The 21,882-nt window shown below is 35.2% G+C and overlaps 1 long non-coding RNA gene across 1 annotated transcript in view; it reads left to right on the plus strand.

Annotated features, from left to right (window-relative positions):
• Positions 1-21,882, plus strand: part of LINC02465 (long intergenic non-protein coding RNA 2465) — a 183,750-nt gene that overhangs the window by 52,491 nt on the left and 109,377 nt on the right. Inside the window, exons 8-10 of the long non-coding RNA NR_151713.1 lie at positions 1,231-1,343; positions 10,101-10,215; positions 13,262-13,316. This is a non-coding gene — a long non-coding RNA (long intergenic non-protein coding RNA 2465). The remainder of the gene's footprint in view (positions 1-1,230; positions 1,344-10,100; positions 10,216-13,261; positions 13,317-21,882) is intronic.

The raw sequence follows: 21,882 nt of genomic DNA on the forward strand, positions 1-21,882 counted from the left end.
AAGATGCAAAAAAGCCTGGGAAATGTAAATTATATTTTAGAGAACCAACTGATTTTGCAATTGTCAAATGCATTTATATTCACATTCACAATAGATTTCATTAGAGATTCTTAGCATATTGTTACCATTTGATTAAAACCTTTATAATGTTTGAAGACATCTCTCTTACAGGAAGAAATGCAATAGAAGCAGTTATAGAAATCAAATAATATATGTGATATTTTAAAATTATAAAGTGCTATTTAAATATAAAGTCATATTAAAATTATGTATGATATAGTTACTGAAAGCATGTAAATTATTTCTAGATATTTTAAAAAGCCAGAGTGACATCATACTCTTATTTTTGTTCTTGTGATACTTTTCAGTAGTCTCAATTTAGAATTCCATGCTTCACAGCTTCTGATTTTACTAACATGTTCAACTGGGTTAAAAAATTGCAAAGCTAAATAATTTTTGTGGTGGAAGGCTTCATGGATTTTCTAGTCCACTTCTTGCTGAAGTATTAGCCCTCTATGTAGGATAATGAAATCCCTGAGCTAGCAAGAGTATAATGGGGTAGAAGTAGAGATTGCACTTGTACTGTAAGAATGATGGAATGGGAATTTGGAAGAGTTACCCTAGAAAGAAAAAGGGATAGCACTGTCAATGGCAGAGACCAAGTCAGCTAAAGAAAAGGCCCTCTTCAGCAGTGTTATGACTGAGAGTGGTTGAGTCAATGTGATAACCTGCAATCCATAGATTTATTAGCTTGCACCGTAAGGCATGTAGGCTGCCTATAGCAACATTCTATTCTCTCCAGGTCAATCTGTAAAGGAGCTCATAATGTTTCTCAGTTAATCTCTGGTACCTTTTTTTGTGAAGATCCAAGTCTTGAGAATGCCAAGAAAAATGAGCATTCTGGTATTGAGTAGGTTTGAGAGCATTCTATTGTGATGAGAGAAAATATAATAAGGGTACAACTAATTGTTGCTTATGATGAGTACGTTAATATAAATGTTCAGTAAATCAGTGAATCTACCAGTCTAATAAATATTGAGTCTTAAAAAAAATGCATACCTTATAAGGGAAAAGTAAGACAAGTAAAATATAATAAAGAATTAGAATAAAGAATACATTTTATAGATGAGGTAATTTATTTCAAAAATTGCTTTGAATCCTGCTCCCAATTACTTGTATGGGAGCAGGACCATTTTCCTCTCTCTCAATAATCAAACTACTTGTTCTTAGCTTTTCTAGGTCATCATTCTAGGCTTTGTTGAAGCATGCATTTTTGGCATGAGGGTGGCAGCCTTTGCACTATGTGCATGGCTGAGGAGTTAGGATCTGGAGGGTGATGAAAGGTAAGTTGTACTTGGTAAATTGCATTATTTTTTCTGCAATTCTGGTGGTATGATTATTTGCCCCACATCAGTCTGCTCCATATGTGAAAAGGCTAAAATTAGATTAAATTAGGCAATAGAAAAATCAGTGTTAGAATACAGATTCCCGAGAGTTACACTCAATTGCTTGGTTCACTGAGCCATGTTGCTTTTGAGGTAGTTCTGAATCTGTCCTAGTGTCTTAGAGGTATTTCAAACAGCTGTCAACCAAGCCTATAAAGGTGAGTTATGTGGACATAACCTTCCAGTCTCTAAACTTTCATTTTTTATACAGATAATTTTAACAATGTAATAAAAATCTACTAAATATATACTTAGCAGTAGCTTATAAAATAAATCTCATGACAAAGAAAGAAAACATTGGATAAGATATTCTATGTACATAACTTGAAGGTTTGTAGTCTGATTTTTCAATAGGATCACCGTCGGATTTTCTTCAGCCTATGCAGACTTTTTGTGTGTCTGCATTTGGAGTCAGTGATTATCTTTATGTTGATGTAAGAGGTTTTTATTAGCAAAGTTATTAATAGAATGCTTACTTTTCTATTACCCTAAGTCTGTGCTTGATATTCAAATCCTTTCCAAATAAACAAATTTCATAATAGAAATGACTCTCACCCCTGTTTTCAGTAACATACAACCTTGACAATTTGTAGAGGACTAAATGCTATTTAGCGGCACATTATTTTCTGTTAGTCAATGCCATTGACTTTAGAAAATATCTGAAAACAGAGATCTTAGTTCTTTGCAGCTTTTTTCCAATTTTCCCACAAAGTTCTCCTTCTTTATTTCATTAAAACCAATTAGGCATATTGCACTGGCAGAGATTAATACTGCTAAATGTCAATGATGTGTCTGCTTTGAAAAAACTATTGAGCTGAAGAGTAAATAGCAATACAATAAAAATGTCCTGACATCTTGCTTGCAGGAAAGCAGAGAGCTGTAAGATGGCAGGAAGAGTAAAGGAGATAATAATGGTTGATCACTAAATTGATTTCAGTAGCTTATGTTCCCAGAAAATCAACTGAATATACATGCAGAAAACAAAGCAAACCAAAAAGAAAAGATGGAAGGTCATGATTGGTGGGTACAATCTTTGATAAGTGGATGCTCTTGGCAGTGTTCTCAAGAATGTGTTGAAAATGAAATAGTGACCTTTCTTCTCTATGACTCAAAATGTCATTAATTAGCAACATCCTTGAAAAGCCTGGTTGTCCTCTAGGCATATGGACTGTGTTGTTCTTCGTTAAAATCTAGTTTCTATAAGAAATCCCTCACCATGAAGCAAAACATCAGACATAACAAAAATACTTTTCCTAGTTGGAAACCGAGGGCACTGACTAGATCAGGGATCAGCAAACTATGACCAGTGGACCAAATCTGGCCTACCGCCTGTTTCTTTAAGGTACTTGTGCTAAAAATAATTTTATTTTTATATGTTCTTTTAATTTTTGTATTTTTTTAAAAGAATTATATCCCAGGGCCTCTGGGGTCTTTGTCCCCACCACCAGCATCATCAGCCATTTGGTGTTTTCTTGGAGAAGAAGCTATTTTCACATTTTTAAATGGCTAAAAAAATCAAAAGTAGAATAATATTCTGTGATGTGTGAAAATTACATGAAGCTCAAAATATCCATGTCCCTAAGTAAATGTATACACTGTGTGGAAACACAGCCATGACCATTCATTTCTGCATTTTCCGCAGTGGCCTTTACACTCCAACAGCAGAGTTGTGTAATTGCTGCAGATACCACATGGATGGACCTCAAAGCCCGAAGTAGTTCCTACCTGGCCCTTTACAGATAGAGTTTGTCGACCCGAAGGATAGACAATTCTCTTAGAATAAGTCTGAAGCTTGAACTTTAATGTTGAATCAGTATTTTTTTTCTATCTTCACCAATAATCAAATATAAGGAAAGGAAGAAAAGCTGGAAAGGGGACAAAAGGAAAGAAAAGTACAAAAGTTGAGATTTATTTAAGAATTAAAAATTACTCTGTATGTTAGTATTAGTCAGGGTTTTTCAGAGAAACAAAGTTATCTATCTATCTATCTATCTATCTATCTATCTATCTATCTATCTATGTCTATCATCTGTCTATCTATCTGTCTATCTATCTATTACGAGGTTTATTTCAAGGAATTGTGATTTTGGGGAGCTGGTGATATGACATTTGCAGGACAGGCACCTAGAAATTCCAGTAAGAGTTGATGTTCCAACCTGAAGTCTGAAGACAGACTAGAGGAGAATCGTTTCCTCTTCAGGAGACCTCAGCCTTTCTTTTGAGGCCCTCAACTGATTGGATAAGGCCCACTCACAATATGGAAGGTGATCTGTTTTATTCAAAGTCCATTAATGAAAATGTTAATCACATTTAAAAATTACTTTCACAGCAACATCCAGACTAGTGTGGGACCAAATAACTGGGCACTGTGGACTAGCAGTGGTGACATAAAAGTAACTATCACATTCTGAAATGACATAAATGATATCAGGAAGGGTATTTATCAGGAACACTGGTAAATAAAATTTCTATTCAAGCACAGGCAAATTGAATTCCTCTGCCTCATTTTCAAGTTGGGAAAATGGAGGCATAACATTTATTATGTTTGAGGAAGAAGGAATATTTGGAAATGAATTTTAACTCACAATTCTATCTTGATGGATCAATGCACAATTTCATAAACACAGGGCACAAATAAGAGCTTGAAAAAGTTTTCTCCTTCATTTTTCAGGACTACATAGACATTATTCAGGATTATCATTTTTCATGTCCTTTGTTATCCCAAACATATACAATGGTAATAGATATGAAAGTTATTTTCGTATGTTGATTTGTTGGGGCTTGCATGACATTGTACCACAGACTGGATGGCATTAATAACAAAAAATTATTTTCCCCAATTCTGAAGACCATAAGTCTAAGACCAAGGTGTCCACAGAGTAGGTTTCTTTTGAGAACTCTCTTCTTGCCTTGCAATGGCTGTCTTCTCATTGTGCTCTCACATAGTTGCTCCTCTCGAGGTTTGTGTGTTATTTGCATCCTAATTGCCTCTGTTTATAAGGACACCAATCATATTAGATTAGGGCCCACCCATATAACTTTATTTTATCTTAATTACTTTTACAAAAGCCTTATTTCCAAATGCAGTCATATTCTGAGGTACTGGGGGTCAGAACTTCAACATATAAGTTGGAAGATAGAGATGCAATTTAGCCCATAATACCTGGAAAATATCCAATGAATGAATATTTTCTGTCCACTAATGGAAAATCAGTAGCTTTGATCTATTTTTCAAGCTTAAACATTTTCTACTAATAAAACACCATATTAAAATATTACATATGTACAGAAAAACCAAAAATAATAAGTGTACAGCTCAATGCATTATCAAAAACAAACATGCTCTTGACAAGAAATAGATTATTACCTGAACTCCAGAATCTCCTATCATATCCCCTCCAAATTGCTACACTCATCTCTTCCCAAAGTTAACCACTATCTTGCCCTGTTTATTTTTGAATTTTAGATGAATGTAATATTTTATGTCTGGATTCATTGGCTCAACAGTATGTTTATAAGATTCATCCTTCTTGTATGTGTGGCAGTAGTTTATTTTTATTACGGTAGAATATTTGTTATGTGATTATATCACAATGTATTCACTTTGTTTCCAGTTATTGGTTATTATGAATCACATTGCTAAGAATATTTATCTAAATCTCTTAAAACACTTTATGTTGTGAGTCACTATGTCAAAATTACTTTTTGTTAAAGAAAGGAATAAGAAGTACCTTTTCTCACAAAGTTTATATTTGAAAATACTGTTATTATGTTGGTGCAAAACCAATTGCTGTCTTTGCTATTAAAAGTAACGGCAAAAACCGCAATTACTTTTGTACCAACCTGTTCACAAGTTTTTTTTGTTTTTTACTTGCTTGTTTTGATACATGTATGTCAGGCATTGTGCTAAGAGCAATTGTAGATACATTGATGAGCACCTTCTAAACTTCTTTGAAGGATTTTGAAGTACAGTGGAGTGGGGCAGTGGTTTGCAAAGTATGGTCTATAGACAAGAAACTCCCTGTCAGCATAAATTGGGAATTTATTATGAAAAGAAATTCTCATATTATTAAATCATGAACTCCAGGAATGGAACCTGGAAATCTGTGATTTAGCAAGTGCTCCAGGTGATTCTGATACATACTGAAGTTTCAGAACCATTCTGACGAAAGAAAGTGAGAAGACAGAAAATGAAAACACAATGCACACTTTCTTTTATAGAAGCCAAGGGAGTCAGTGGTAGGGCCACTTAAATCAGCGTCAGTTTTTAATAAAGACAGAAGCCTTTTTTAGATGACCTTAACATTTTTTATCATTAGTAGGAACAACATTTACCTGCTGGCTTTTAATTTCCTTCAAGCTTGTCTCAAAATCTGTCACCATCTGTTAGATAAAGGTCACCTATATTGCAGCATTACGTTATCCAGCTAGGCAGTAAGGGAGCAGCCCAAATTCAACACTTTTATAGTGGTATTCCTGTTAACACTGAGACTTGTCAAACTCCAAACCCTCTTAGCTGGATCTATTATATATGCCAGGTCTTGTCTTACCTATTTAGAAGTGAAAAAAATAGTCAGACTCCTTCTCAACAAAACATTATAGCATGATGAGAAATAGTACAGGCTCTGAGGAAGAGATTCACGTTCTGTTTGCTTCTTAACTATGTGGCTTTAAACAGATTCCTTAACCCCACTCTATCTTAGTTGTTTCCTCTGTAAAATGGGGATGATAACAATATCTAACTTGTAGGGTTGGAATAAGGATCCAAGGAAGTAATACTCAGAAAACGCTTAGACCTATGATTAGTATATTAAAATGACTCAATAAATGCTGAATTTTTCTTAGTGGAATTCGCAGTCCTATTTCTTTTTTATTAATATTATTACATTAAAGCAACTTTCCAGCGTAACAATTTACTTTAAACAAGTGGGTTGCTTTTTTGATTATGAGTAACTTTGACAGATGAACTGTTGTATATTATATGTACTATTTTACAATATGAAATACATTGCATTCATACAGATTGTTATACCATGTATAATATAAAGTTCCACACCCAAAGTGTAGATAGATGTCCCTGTTTTTAAGTATTGTGAACCTGTGATCTTCTTTGGAAATGTTCACTTCCCTACAAATAATTATACATTTTGTTGAAAGAAGTTTAGTGTCAATACATATATACATCTAAATCTATACATTTAAAGGCTTTTTTCTAGGATCTCTAGGTTAAGTTTCTTGCAAATGCTGAGAAGGGAGTAGAAATAATTTTCTACTGGGTTGTCTGGAATTTTGAAGTTATGATTGTTTTTTCCATTTGTAAGCTCTCCAAACCTTTTTGAGAACTAAGTCAGCTCCAGGAGCTTAGTCTCCTACCTGTCAAGATGTAATTATTTCAACTTCTTTATATCCTTTTAAAAACAGAGTAGACTACTCTCCACTCTCTTCTCTGGGGATCCATTCCTTTGATGATTGGCTATAGAGTGGGAGGGCACAAATTTCCCAAAGCAAAAACTCTTTACTTACTACCTTGTAAAATAATTGCATAGACATTTTTTACTTAAATAATATTTACTTTTTTTGTACTATGGGGGAGTCCAAATCAGAAACATAAGCTAGACAAAAGGAGAAACAGTTATTGACCTCAGGTGTATAGTTATTACATCCCTTGTGCAATAAATAGTAGTATTATTGGTTTTAATATATGAGGTTTCACTCATTTAGGAGTCACTCAGATGCTCATGACATATAGTAATTTTTACATCTTGAGACAAAAATTTTTTGCTGGAAGTTTGCAAGTCTTATAAACAGAAAACCCAACTAAGATAAGCTGTGACTTCTCCAATTCCAAATCTTCTTTCCGGAATCTTTGATATATGCCAGTTTTTGTCTTTTCGCCTATCTAGACATGAAAAAAATCACGAAACATGCCTTAGAAAAGCATTATTGCATGGTAGATGATAGCACAGCTTCTGAAGACATTACCTGCACTCACGTACTAGCTTTTTGCTTCCTTTAAAAACATTTGTATATCGATTTATGTAAATCATTTCAGCCATTTATCTTGTTGCCTTCCTCAAGATGGTTCCATGCTTGGGCTGCATAAAGCAACTCTAGACATTTCTGGTGTGGTTTATAGCAGTTCTTACAGTCACATACTCATCAAAAGCCAGAGAAAAGGTCTTACATTCCCAGCTAAACCTAAGAGATTGTTAACATCTCTCAGAATTGGGTCGTATCCTCAATGCTGAATCCAAATGTATGTGGTCAAAAGGTTTGATATGCAGATTGATGTACACAATCATAGCCCTTACTTGGAAATTGGAGTTGAGGTAAATCATTCAAAACACACACTGGGGGGGGGGAAACTAAGAAAAATTTGAGGTCCTAGTATATGGAAGAAAAAGATTTGCTGCAGAGCGGCAAATAGAAGTTCCCATCAAGATCAAAGAGCCTTTCAGATTGTGAATGTGCCCAGTGGACAGCCAGTATCCACACTCAACCCAGCTCTACATCCTCTGCTTCTCTCCAAGTATGCACCACTTCTTGCTAAGTGAAAAAAACCTTTTCCTGGTAGAATATGATCCTGAAACAAGAGATAAATACCTGTGCTAGGTAGGATGTAAAGAGAAAGCAACAAGGACCAGGAAAGTAAAGGAGTTAACACATTTAGGGAGAAAGGTTTCAGAATTTTCTGTTATGAAGATCAAGGGTTGACTCCATTACCTTCTTTTCTTTCTGTAGGTGGTAGATTCGACTTTCCAAGTAGCTCAAGCCTACTTTTCCCCTAGAGGGCATCTGTCTTTTCAAAAATATTTGAACAGGGTCAGTTCTTCGGTAGAACTTTGTCCAAACAGAATGCTTATACCAATCATTTAATTCAGTGCTTGCTGATTTTATTTTATTTTATTTTTAGGTGACATTAAAAAAGGTCTCAAATGTGTTTAGCTCTATCTAACCCCTAGGTTAGGTGCTATCCAACCTTTGTACAACAGCTTTTTAATTTACTACTTGATAATCCATCTCTCCAAATCACCCTTCAGAATGCTACCAAAATAATCATTACAAAAATCTCAAAAGTGTCCAATAAAATAAAATGTTTTTTATATGGTAAGCAAGATCTCTTTATCCTATTCCTCCAGGTTCCTTTTTAATGTATCTTGCATCATAAGTTTTATCAACACTTAGTTACTATAATCTCAACCTGACTTGCACTTTCATGCCTCCACAAATATAATAATGTAATTTCCCTAGTTTGAAATGTTCCTTTTCTTCTGTCACTTCCTTCTGTCCATAACTAGTGAACTAATGATCAACTACTTGAGATGATTTTTTTGAATCCCCTAGTCAGAACTCAACTTTCGGGGAGTTCACTTTGTACTTCTGTTATAGATAGATGTCTGGTGTTACAGATGGCATTAAAGTAGTGCTACAGTCAGCCTCTCTACTCCCCATCTGACTGTAAACTAGATAACTGAAGAGTGGGGTGATTGGAAGCACAGGTTTGGGAATCACAATTACGTTCACACTGTAACTTTTCCACAGTTGTATTACATAAGGTAAGTTAACGTAAACCTTCAGTTTTCCCATCAGTTCAGTGCCATGGTACAAGGACTTCTGGGCTGGCTTATGTGATTTTCAATCACCATCTTTTACATCTTCCCTACTATATCTAAAGAACAAGAATTTAGCACCATGCAAACACTATAAGCCAATTTTTCCTTTGGAGGAGGAGACACAGTGGCCAAAAGAAGAGAAAGAGTTAATCTTCTAAATGAATATTATTAGCAGTGGAGGTGATGTTAAAGACTTCTTTATCAGCAGTTGGCTGTGATGCACACCTTGTTGTCTGGTTTGGCTTGTTCTTAAGTGGGGATGTTTGTTGGGTGACCATATAATTTATCATTGAAACCCAGACACATGTGAAAGTGATGCTATTAATAATTACCCTGGTACAAAAGGACTAAACAACAGTGGCACAGACAAACCTTCCCTGCATATCCTAGGAGGTTAAGTTGAATTTTTCATCTGAAAATGATGATGAATCCTATAGCAGGCCACTCCCTGATTAGAAACCCAGCCTCTACTAGTACTCCTTCTAATGCTTATATTGTCTCTGGAGCAAGACAGCTTTTCATTGGCTTTCTTCACTCAAGGCTCTCCCATCAGAATGGAGGGATTGAAGGAGGAATAAATTCTCAACAATTGGTGAATATGAAGTCTAATTTCTCTTCACTTGATTTAGAAATACACATTTAGTAATAGATCTCTTTACCTGATTTAGAAATACACATTTAGTAATAGAAATGAAAACTTTTTATTATCCAAGATCGTACTGAGCTGAATAGATATCTCTAGTTTGTTGTCCCTTTTAGTATTTACTATCCCCAAACCTGTCACTATCACTGTTGTTTTTCTTTTAATGGGGTGTAAAAAAGAATTTATAGGGAAATTCTTTATGTATAGGCTTGTACTTATATTATTTTCCAATATCTAAGGCTAGAGTGTCCAAAGCAGGATTTAAATATTCCTTAAAAATGGAGATAATAATTCACATTCAAAAGAAAAAAGATTAAGATATATATTTCAATTGACATGCTATTGAAGATTAGACCATGTAAATGTGTGGTTGATTAATGATTTTTATTTATTTTTCAGCAAAGGTGCTGCTGGTTACTCTTGGTTCATCTAGCAATAGATGATCTGAATGTTAGAGTTCGCCAAATATTGTTCCTGGGCAGTCTTTGCTCTACCAAATCAACTTTCTCCATGGGTAATATCCTCCAGTTCCATGGCTTAAATATTATCTATAAACTAAAACTCCCAAATGTTCATGTCTAGTCCCCACCTCAAAAAACTAAATACTTTCTTGCTATCTCCACATGGATATACAGTATACATTTTTCTAACTTAATATGTTCCAAACTAGCTCTTCTTTACCTGACACCTCACAGCCCTTTGCTTATTATACTGTTCAAATCTCATGTATTAGTCTGTTTTCACATTGCTGATAAAGACATACCAAAGACTGGACAATTTACAAAATAAAGAAGTTTAATAGACTCATAGTTCCACGTGACTGGGGAGGCCTCAAAATCATGGCAGAAGGTGAAAGGCATGTCTCACATGGCAGCAGACAAGAGAAGAGAGCTTGTGCAGGGTAACTCTCCTTATAAAACCATCAGATCTCATGGGACTTATTCACTATCACGAGAATAGCACAGAGAAAGACCCGCCCCCATGATTCAATTACCTCCCACCAAGTCCCTTCCGCAACACATGGGAATTGTGGGAGCTATAATTCAAGATGAGATATGAATGGGGACACAGCCATCCCATTAAAGTTTTCTACCATCCCTCCAGTAGCTTATGCCAAAAACCTAGGAATAAATCTTAGTTTTGCCCCCTTTCTTTATCTATTTATGCCCTTTAAAAGTATCCATTTACTTACTAAAATAAGCCTAAACTATTCACTTGTCTTCATATGCATCACCATCATATGATCTTATTACCCAGAGCACTGTCTTCTAAGCCCTGCCTCCCAACTCATAGAATCTATTCTTCTTAATGATTCTTTATTTTAGAGAAACAGATGATGTTTCACTGCTACTTTAAATGCTCCTTGAACTTCATTTCATTTACTACAAGGCTTGAATGATCCTGTCCCTCCTACGTCTCTGACCCCATCTTATGCACTTACTCAATATACTCAAGGCACATTGTCTCCCCTTGCTTCCGTTAACATTTTGAGCTCTTCCTGCTTCCTGGCTTTGCTCCCACTATTGCTGTTGGTTAGAATATTTCCTCTTCTCTTTTTAGGACTTGCTGCTTCTTACCTTTTAAGTCTGAGATCTGGGGTTACCTCATGATGGAAGTCATCCCTGACTACAGTTGTTCTATTATATTTTAGTATCTGGGGATTTTTGTTATAATCTGTCTACCACCATAAGAATGTGATCCTAAATGGACTACCATGTATCTCTATTCATTAATATGTTCCTAACACATAGCCCAGTGCCTGGCTCATAGAAGAAGCCAAATACATATTTTAAATACTCAATGAATATCTTTGATTCATTAAACTAAGTTAAAAAATAAAATAACATTTAATAATTTAACAAAAATTATTGCTTCCTGTCCATAGACTACATGAATGCATTTATTTGGGTAGTGCAGCAAAAGCAAACCCATCTGCACTCTCCCCTCTTAGTATTAGAACAAGCTACCAAACCCTAATAACATGACCTTATATTTTCTATAATTTGTGAAAGGGCCAAGTGGTAGCATAAGCATTTCTTGTGATTTGAAAAAAAAAAAAGAGAAACCAAATGTAAATGAACAAGGTATTAAATTTTAAACCAGTATATGTAGTGTGCAAACTTTAAAAAGTAGTATAGTTTGAATAAACATATCACTAGATGAGCAGATAGATAGCAAAGCAATATTCCCTGAACAATTAAAGAAAGGGATTCAGGATAAGACTTACTTGCCTAAGCAGGTTTTTAATGGAGATAAATTTGGTTTGTTTTAGAAGCAGATGTTTTTTGGAAGACTTATTTATTATAGTTAAAAACATTATTTAAATCTATTTTTACCACTTTTTCCACAGAACCCTATTTTCAGTGTCACTAATTTTATAAACAACAAATTCTGTCAATCATATTACTTTTTCTAAGTTATATAAATCTCATAGTTGGAGAAATTGTGCATGTATTTATGTATCTTTGTAACAGGAGTGTTCTACTTCATGATTTAAGGTATACATAAATAGTCCTGATCAGCTTACAGAATATAACCATCAAACTATTCATCCAAGGTAAAAGCTGATTTGGTCTAAGAGTCTATCCTGTGCTTCACATTGGCTCTTTCCACTTTCCATTTAGAAATCTAAGAATTTCCTCTCTTACTGAGACAACCTGTCTTCAGCTCAAAGCATCTATTCTTGCCTGAGTCTATCTCCATTGATTGCCTATAGCAATGTCAGGCTGGCTGCTGTTTTAAATTGAGCATTTCATGTATAAAGCATACCAGCTGAGGAGGCATGTTTGCTAAAGTAGAAGTCACAGGTTCAGGGGTGACATATTGTACAAGTGGTCATAAGCCTTGGAAGGTAAGTAGACTCTTTTTCCATATTAGACTCAATAAAGGGGACTTTGGCCATGGCCAGGGATATTTAGGCTAAAATAATTTCGATTTTCTGGTTCAGTTACCTCCTGAGGTATTAGGCCCCTCTAGGATGACTAACAAAGAACCTGAGCTAGAGTCAGTATAAGCTTGTGGAGATTCAGGTTTCAGTAGAACACTGATATCAGCCACATGCTGTTTCTGAAGTGGGTTGAATCAAGGGTTTAGTGGTAGTTGAGTATCTCCAGCTGAGTGACTATTTGACAAATAAGTGAATTTGGGCTCAAGGGGTGATTTATCTGAAAATCAGATTTGTCTCTTAAGACATGAAATACTTTTAATAGAGTGTAATACAGTAACTTGAATACATCGTGTGCCTAGTTGGGGCCTAGAATCTCTAATTTGATAGGCTTTAGACCCAAAGGTTGCACAACATGCTTAGTGATCAGTTGTATAAGTTTACAACTTTAGTCAGTTCCCAGAATGCAAGTTAACCCCAAGCAAGATGGGTCACATAAACATATATTTCTCTTCCTTTTGACTCAGTTCTAGAATGAGCTAAATGGTTCTCTTTGTTTTTGCTCTTCCTTGATCTGGGCCTTAATATATGGCCAGTCTATTACATGGCAAATGATCTCTCCATTGCTGCATTTCAGAAAGAAGGGTTGGATACATCTCCGTTTCTTTTCTTCTAGGGGAGCTAGAAGTCACCCCACATTCTCCGCCATGGCCAGCTCTACATTCTAAGAGGTAAAAATAACTTTGGCAAATCCACTACAAACAAACAGCCAAACTAAAGATTATACTAAATTCTTCTTCCAGGAAAATAGGCCTGCCCACCTATATTTGACAAACTAACTGGGCGTCTAACAAGATTCTTTATAGGACAAAGATCAGTTTCTACCAATTAAAACACAGTGTCATGCGTGATAAAACATAACAACTTTAAATGTTTATGGGCCTAATAAAAAAGCTTCAAAATACACAAATTAGAATAAAATGTAGATAATCGTGCAAAAATAGTAAATCACTTTACCAATGCTATTACAGCACTCAGAGAACAACCCAAGACAGCATAGTATTGGTATAAAGACTGACAAACAGATCAATGAAACAGGATAGGGACTTTAGGAAAAGACTCACTGTATAGGACAAATTGATTTTTGACAAAGATGTCAAGAAAAGTCAATGGTTAAATAAAACTCTTTCCAGGCAATAGTGCTAAAACAACTGGGCACAGTGGGGAGAGATTAGGAGAAGCAGTAGATAAACGTTAATGCTCACCTCACATCATACACAAGGAAATAACTTAAAGGGAATACAGACCTAAACATAAAAGCTAAACTATAAAAATTCTAGAATAAAATGTGGAAGAAAATCTTTGTCCTTGGAGTAGGCCATGATTTATTTAATAAGGAGCAGAAAACATGAACAATAAAAGGCAACAGACACATTGGACTTCATCAAAATTTACATCTTTTGTTCTTTGAATAATAATATAGCGAAAACTAAAAGGAAAGCCATCTACTGAGAGAAAATAATCTTAAAACATACAGCTGACAAAGGATTTGTTTCTAGAATACTTAAAAGAATTCTTTTTAAAAAGAACTTTAAAGTTCAGGGGTACATGTGCAGGTTTGTTACATAAGTAAACATGTGTCATGGGGGTTTGTTGTAGGGATTATTTCATCACCCAGTTATTAAGCCTAGTACCCTCTAGTTATTTTTCCCGATCCTCTCCCTTTTCCCAGCCTTCATCCTCTGAAAGGCCCCAGTGTTTGTTGTTTCTCTCTTTGTTTCCATGTGCTCTTATCATTTAGCTCCCATTTATAGGAGAACATGTAGTATTTGGTTTTCTGTTCCTGTGTTAGTTTGCTAAGGATAATGGTCTTGAGCTCCATCCAGCTTCCTGCAAAGGACATGATTTCATTCTTTTTTATGGCTGTATAGTATTCCATGGTGTATATATTCCACATTTTCTTTATCCAGTCTATCACTGATTGACATTTAGGTTGATTCCATGTCTTTGCCATTGTGAACAGCTCTTCAATGAACATATGCATGCAGGTATCCTTATGGTAGAATGATTTATATTCCTTTGGATATATACCCAGTAATGGGATTGCTGGGTCAAATTGTATTTCTGTCTCAACAACAGGAAAACAAGTCCATAGAATGACTTGAATTTTTGAGTGGACACTTCAAATGAGAAGATATACTAATACTCAACAAGCACATGAAAGAAGCTCAACATCTTTATTCATCAGAAAAAGTGCAAATTAAACTTACAAGAAGAAACTACTCTACACACATTATAATGGTCAAACTTAAAAAGGTTGAAAAAATTCAAGTCCTGTGAAGATGTAGAGCAACCAGAATGCTCATACACTGTTGCTGGTGGAAAAAAACAAAAACAAAAGCGAAAAAAAAAAAACTATAGAAAACTGGCGTTTCTTTAAATGGTGAAATAGACATTTACTAGAGAAATGAGCTATCAAATTCTTAGATCTTTATCCAAGACAAATGGACATGTGTCTATAAAAAGACTCATATACAGATGATGACAGCAGTTTTACTAATAATAGCCAAAAAGTATGAATAACTCGATGGTCCATCAACAGGTGAAACACAAGTGGCATAAGTAAACACTGAAATACCACTCTGCAATAAGCAGGATCAAGATACTGCCAATGGCAACAACAGAGATAAATCTAAAATTCACTATGCTGAGTGAGAGAAGCAAACACAAAGGAGTACATACCATATGCTTCCATATATACACAAGCAAAGGGAATACAAGGATATTTAGAAAGACAAAAAGTTGATGTTGATCTGTTGTTGACTTTGGATATGGACAGAAGGAAGAATGGACCACGAAAAGACATGATCTATCTTTGGAAATGATGAAATTGTTTTGTATCTTGATTGTACAGGTGGTTTCACAGGTGTATCTACCAAAATGTATTGAGTTGTACACTTTAAATGGGTGCAGATGATTGCACAAAAGTCATCTCAGTAACATTTATTTAAAGATAGCAGAGTTGGAATTTCAATTCTTAATTGTCTGGATTCAAAGCCACTTTATTAGCCAGTATTTAACTTTTCTCTCAGTATGCATATGCAGCTTCATGATTCAAGCTCAGAGTTTTGCTGATGTGGCAGAACCATACTGGATATACTTATTCTTTCTGTCTCCGTGAAAGAGCTACCTCTGCAGTCTCCAGCGAGTCATCTGTGTGCTATGAAATGCTAGAACTGCTACTTCATGAGAATACGTGATTGGCATTATTCCAGGCTGCTTAATCTATTTTTGTTTTCATCATTGTGCACATACCAATAAGCAATTCAGGTTTCTACAATGGAATGAGAAAGGAGCTAAACTAATTTTAGTGGATATTGTCATTTTTCCCCTTTGTTTTCTATCCTTGTCACCCTTGGGCAGTTATATCTTATGCTCATAGGGTCTTCCCATGCTACTTCTTCTTTATTTTATAAAGCATGATTTTATATAGTATAATCCTATAATATAGTCTGATTAAATATAATTAGTTTATATCTTGTCAGAGAGAATAGGTCCTTAAACTTGTAGGAAGTTAATTATGTGATTGTTGGTTGTATATATATTTTTAGACTTTCCCTTTAAAGTAAAATGTGGTGGTCAATTTTCTTTCAAGTGTCCATTTGTTTTAGGGTTTTAAACATGCAAAAGGTCATAATTTGATTTTTGTAGTTTGAGCGAGGTTTTAATTATGAAGCTCTTCTTTCTTCCCTTTTACAGAAAAATGAATTAATAGGATTTTTCATGTGGCTGAAGAAGACAGAGACTGCAAACCAGGTGGTGACAATTGCCCTGGCAACACCACATTTGTATTTATTCACTTACTAAATTTTCCACCAGATATTTTTCAATGTAGCTCATTAAAAACATTTCTGTTTTCCTTTCTCGATTTTATCTGTATCACATCTACATGTGTTTAAAATTAACTCTGTTTTTCCACAGAGGACTACATTGCTCTTTTTGTTGACTATTAAAATTTGTTTTGAGAGTTTCAAACTAACTGTTATCCTTGCAACTTGTTTAAACAGTATATCTGGAAAGGAGTGTTTTTTGTTTTTTGTTTTTATTTTTTTCCGATTACCTGATTTCATAAGAGAACTTACTTAAAGTTAAAATTCTGGAAAAAATAATTTCCAAATCTTGGTTTTCCAAATTCTTTTTTCCTCATTGCTTGGTTTTCATTTTTAGAATCAATTTCCACAGCTTCAGTTCTAATTTTGACTTCATTTTTTACTTGACTTTATCTGTTTTCTCCTTAACCATAGTTTGTCTCCAGCCTAGCACCCATCCTGAGCTGGGAGACATCCTAGTGCAGTAAAAAGGACAAGGACTTTGGACTCACAAAGAAGTGAGAATAAGCCTAATTTCACTACTGCTTAGTTGTGAACATAGGTGATTATGCTGAGGCTTATGCATCACATAGGACTAATAATAGTTAAATTACACTGTGGTTTTGAGTCTAAGGAGAGTGACTAGACAGTAAGTACTAGTTCCCTGTGCTTAATGCTGTACTTTTCCCAACTATCCCAACCCTGACCCCCATCTCTGGCATTTTCAATCATCCACTGTCAGTTATTTCAAAGGTCACCCTTCCTGATTTGGGGCTGACTTATAGCTATATAAAATGTTCTTAGTTCTTACAATAACTTGCTATTCTGCATTTACCTGTGCTAATTATTTTATTAACCACAAGGTGAGGTTGACCTTTGTGAGGCTCACAGTTCTGATCTTATCTTTTTGTTATTTTCTTTTTTTTCAGATGTAGCAATAAAACATTTCATTCTGAACTTCCAACATTTAATGTTCCAGAGTTATTATTCACAATCTATTTGTTCAAATAATAGAAAATGAAGTTAGAAATTGAGATAAGATTGATAATATTGATTGAGCAAATCTTCAAAAAACATCACCTATATTTTATAAATTGTATTAGTTCCTGAATTGCTAATATTTAAAGTTTCATAACTGTCCTTATTATACTAGAAAGTATAATATTGGCCAAAAATATGATAAAAGAACCTGAAAATAAATGCTTTATTGAGCTTTATGGGGTAGTATCTCTATGAGTTATAATAAGTACTTGATTTAATATGTGTTATTATCGTTAAATGTATTCTGTTAATTTGCACTCTAGTTCCTACTTTCATTGTAAATGTTTAACTGGCAAATAAGATTTTGGATACAGATTCAGAGTAAAAATATTGAAACACTTATTTAAACATCCACCCTCACCCGTGACATGGTATTATTCCTCAACTCATTCCTGTAGCCACTACCTTAAAAGAACACTAGCAGCTAAAATTTAGGGACTACATGAGCTACTAAATTTGTGGCCTGATTTTCATTAAAAACAGCCAAGATTATTCAAAGTAATATTTTTTCAAATAATAATTATGAGGAAGCATAGTGTATTTTACGAATGCCAGTTCATCTCATAGGGATAGGGTTACTTGCCTATTTCGTTTGGGGATAAAAGAAAACATAAAAAGGAAAGGAGCCCAGATGAATACTTTTTCTGCAATTAGTGGTGATGCATGTAGTGAACTGCTAAGCATCCATGACTAATCGAGATAGACAGGGCTATCCCTTGCTAATCACAGAAGATATTGGCCTGTCCGTAGGAGAAAAGAGTGATTATATCAAAAAGAACAGTCAGCCATTACTAGGGCAAACTCTGTCAAGAGTGTCTGTGAATTATAAGACAAAAGGATAGAGAAATAAAGGCAGTGTTAATTATCTTTAAATGAGAAGGTATGTTTATGTGTTCATGTATCTCATGGAAAGAAGCATTGCTTTGTTTTCTTTTAGAAGAGGTATTTTTATTTATTTATTTATTTTTTATTATACTTAAAGTTTTAGGGTACATGTGCACGTCGTGCAGGTTAGTTACATATGTATACATGTGCCATGTTGGTGTGCTGCACCCAGTAACTCGTCATTTAGCATTAGGTATATCTCCTAATGCTATCCCTCCCCCCTCCCCCCACCCCACAACAGGCCCCAGTGTGTGATGTTCCCCTTCCTGTGTCCAAGTGTTCTCATTGTTCAATTCCCACCTATGAGTGAGAGCATGAGGCGTTTGGTTTTTTGTCCTTGTGAGGTATTTTTTTTTAAAGGAACTCACTACTTGGTTAAGTCATGGAATTCATTGCTGTAAAACTTAGTGGAGTAATTGTTTCTTACAATATTGTAGAACACATACAACTTTATAATTATTTATTTTATATTACCTAAATGATCTTTAAATATTAATTGCAGCCCAGTAGCCAGCAAGTGCAGAACAACAGATGATGCGAATGAAGCAAGTGGGCTGACTTTTTGTGTTATGGCAATGCAGTTCTGCTCATTTTCAGCTTGCCATTATTTATGTAAACATACAAGTAAGTCTTCATTTATAATTTATAAATGATGCTTCTCTGCCAAACACAAGTTTAACTTCAAGTTTTGTTGTTATTGCTGAGTCTTCTGCTTGGATACCATCTTTGGGTTCAGCAAACACCTTTGTCAGGGAATGAGAAGTTGGAAACTAACTTTTATATAAGTCGCCAATCCCCTCTTCCTCTCCTTTTTTGGAGCCTTTGGAAATTTCTCTTTTCAAGATGACTGCATAGATCTAACTATCCAAAGAGCAATAAAACATTCATAAAAGCTCAGTTGTTCATAAATAACTTTTCAAATTTCAGATCCCTAATACGTTGAGTATTCTCTATGACTGGCATAGCAGACGGTTCAGTGGATTGAGGGCTGTGAAAGAGATGTTCAGTGAGTGGCAAAGGTTTGGTCAGAGATTTCCCATTGACTTGTTTTTTCCCACCAGCCCTCAGAAAACCACAAACTATGAGAAGATCACAGAGGAGGAAGGGGTTGAGGATACTAAGGGAGTATGGCTCAAGAGAACAATCATCCAAGATGCATAACGAAGAGAAACCAAAATGACAGTTTTTCAGAGTGAGATTTTTTTCTGTGGTCCAAGAAGAAATTGGGTTCATGTTTAGTTAGAGTGAGACATGTGAATCTTGGGGAATGTGAGGCTGTCAAGAGTAAAGTCTCAGTTTTCCCAGCTAAGATATCTGTAGAGGATGTTAGAGCTGGTTTGAATCTTAAAGAGGAATGGTTTTTGAGAGGAAGAGTAATTTGTGGTTTACACATCACACTGCGAAGCCAGGATTTCACCTCCAGGACTGCAGAAAAGTTAGCTAATGGGTCCATTAGCTGAGTTGGCCAGGGACAGAACGATAATTCTACCACTATATGGAACACACTCTTCTGCCAGAAGGATGTCTCAGGTCTTGTACTTCAAGTGACTTGTCAGAAATCTTCTCTGGATTTAGTTGTAGGCTGTGATGCACATCTAATAAGACTGTGATATTTTCTGACTTGAAATAGGTAAGAATAGTATGCAATGATTCCAATAAAAATATTTTAAGCACAGGGCAAATTGTCAAGATCAACTACATATAAGGCTTCTTATTTCATTGCTTATAAATTCTGCCAACATCAAGCCTGAAAAACGAATCATATTCTCTTACACTGGATCCCTACACTTTTATAATTCCAGCAATATTCTCTTTTACTGTTTCTTATAATTGAAAATGTCTTTGAATATATTATTGGAAGAAACTGGGCAAAACTGTATAAAATGACTACAAAAATAATTACACAGTATAGGGTATTCCCAGATTTAGTTTATTTGCTTCTCTACCAACTTAGTCCCGTTTTGACACTAAGCACAGTCTTGGTCTACCACTCCTGCCTCCTAAGTATGTCTCAAATGCTTCTATTTCTCCTTGTTCCCATTACCACCACTTTTGCTCAGGACACCATCATCCCTTTTCTGGAATGTTGCAATAGCTACTTTCCTAACTGGTCTCCCTGCTATCTGTCTTATCCACATGTCTAGTTTTCCCCACACTGTAGCTGATGTCACTTTTCTAATGCACAAATGTAGCATTTCTGTTTAACATATTTTCATTCTACCTTATTTTGCTTAGTAGAAATGTCCAGAACCTTTCTTGATCTCTCTCTCTCTTGCTCACTCACTGACTCTTATTCTCACCCTCTGGTCTTCTGTATTTTATCACTAGTGTCTTTGTCTCTAGGGCTTTGATTAGAAAACTCTTCTGCCCCTCATCTCTATCCCATTCCCTGCCAGCTGGCAGATTCCTGATTCCTCCTTCTAGTCTCCCTTTGGATGTCACTCCCATAAGAAGAATTGTTCTCTTTAGACTAACACAGACATTCCTCCCTTGTGCCCCCAAGCACCCTGTGCTTATTTTTTTCTTATTTAAAAATGTGCAAAAGGTCTTGCCATCACCTGCTTCTTTCAACAAAGTATAAGCTCCTTAAGGACAATGTCCATAATTGTACCTCTAGTGTTTAGTCCAATACTTGGCACAAAGTAAGCAATCAGTATTTACTCGATAAGTTGAAAGTGATTGACATCACTCCACAGCAATCTTTCTCAGTTCTCTTGGATAAAAAGGACATGGCAACATCAATTTTAGACGGTTTTCTAGACATAAAATTTGGTCTTTTCCTGAAATAACCAGAAGGTTGTCTGATATATTAAGCTGATTACTGTGTCTCCCTCAATCAGAAATTCTCCTGATCTGGCTCTTTGGAGACATTCTGCCTATCTTAAATGTCTACAGTGTGTTTCTCATTCACTCAGAAATTTTCCTGAACCAGCTCCCCAGAGATATTCAGCCTGTCTTTAAGCCATCTTTCTCTTGCTTTTAATTCCCCTTATCCTTGGCTTTCACCTTCTGACTCATCACACTTTCCTCTTGCTCACACACCCACATCCACATGGATCGAAACCTTTTCTCTGAATACTGTTTTGTTTTCTGGTCAAAATTGGGGTCATCAAACATTTCACATAAAACCCCCCTATTTAACAAATGGACAAACAAATATAAAGCAAAATTATTGATGCAAATGCGTGTATATTTTGGGAAACACATATGTAACCTCAGGGTTAGCAGCTATAGAAGGGATTGTGAGTGATTAGGGAGTAGGCATTGCAGGCAGAGATAGCCCAAAGTCTGTAGCTGCCATTCAAGGTTACTTTAAAATTTAACGGGTATCTCAAATCATCAATGTATTTTTATCAAAGATAAATCAAATTCAAAGTAAATAATTGTAGAATTTCAAATATCTTTGGATTTTATTTGTATTTTAATTACTGATTTAGCAAGTCGTTGAAAGTGAAATTATGTAGACTCTGTACCAATGCCGTTACAAGTGAGACAAGTAAGA

This window comes from Homo sapiens, chromosome 4 (genome assembly GCF_000001405.40).
Source record: "Homo sapiens chromosome 4, GRCh38.p14 Primary Assembly".
Classification (NCBI taxonomy): domain Eukaryota; kingdom Metazoa; phylum Chordata; class Mammalia; order Primates; family Hominidae; genus Homo; species Homo sapiens.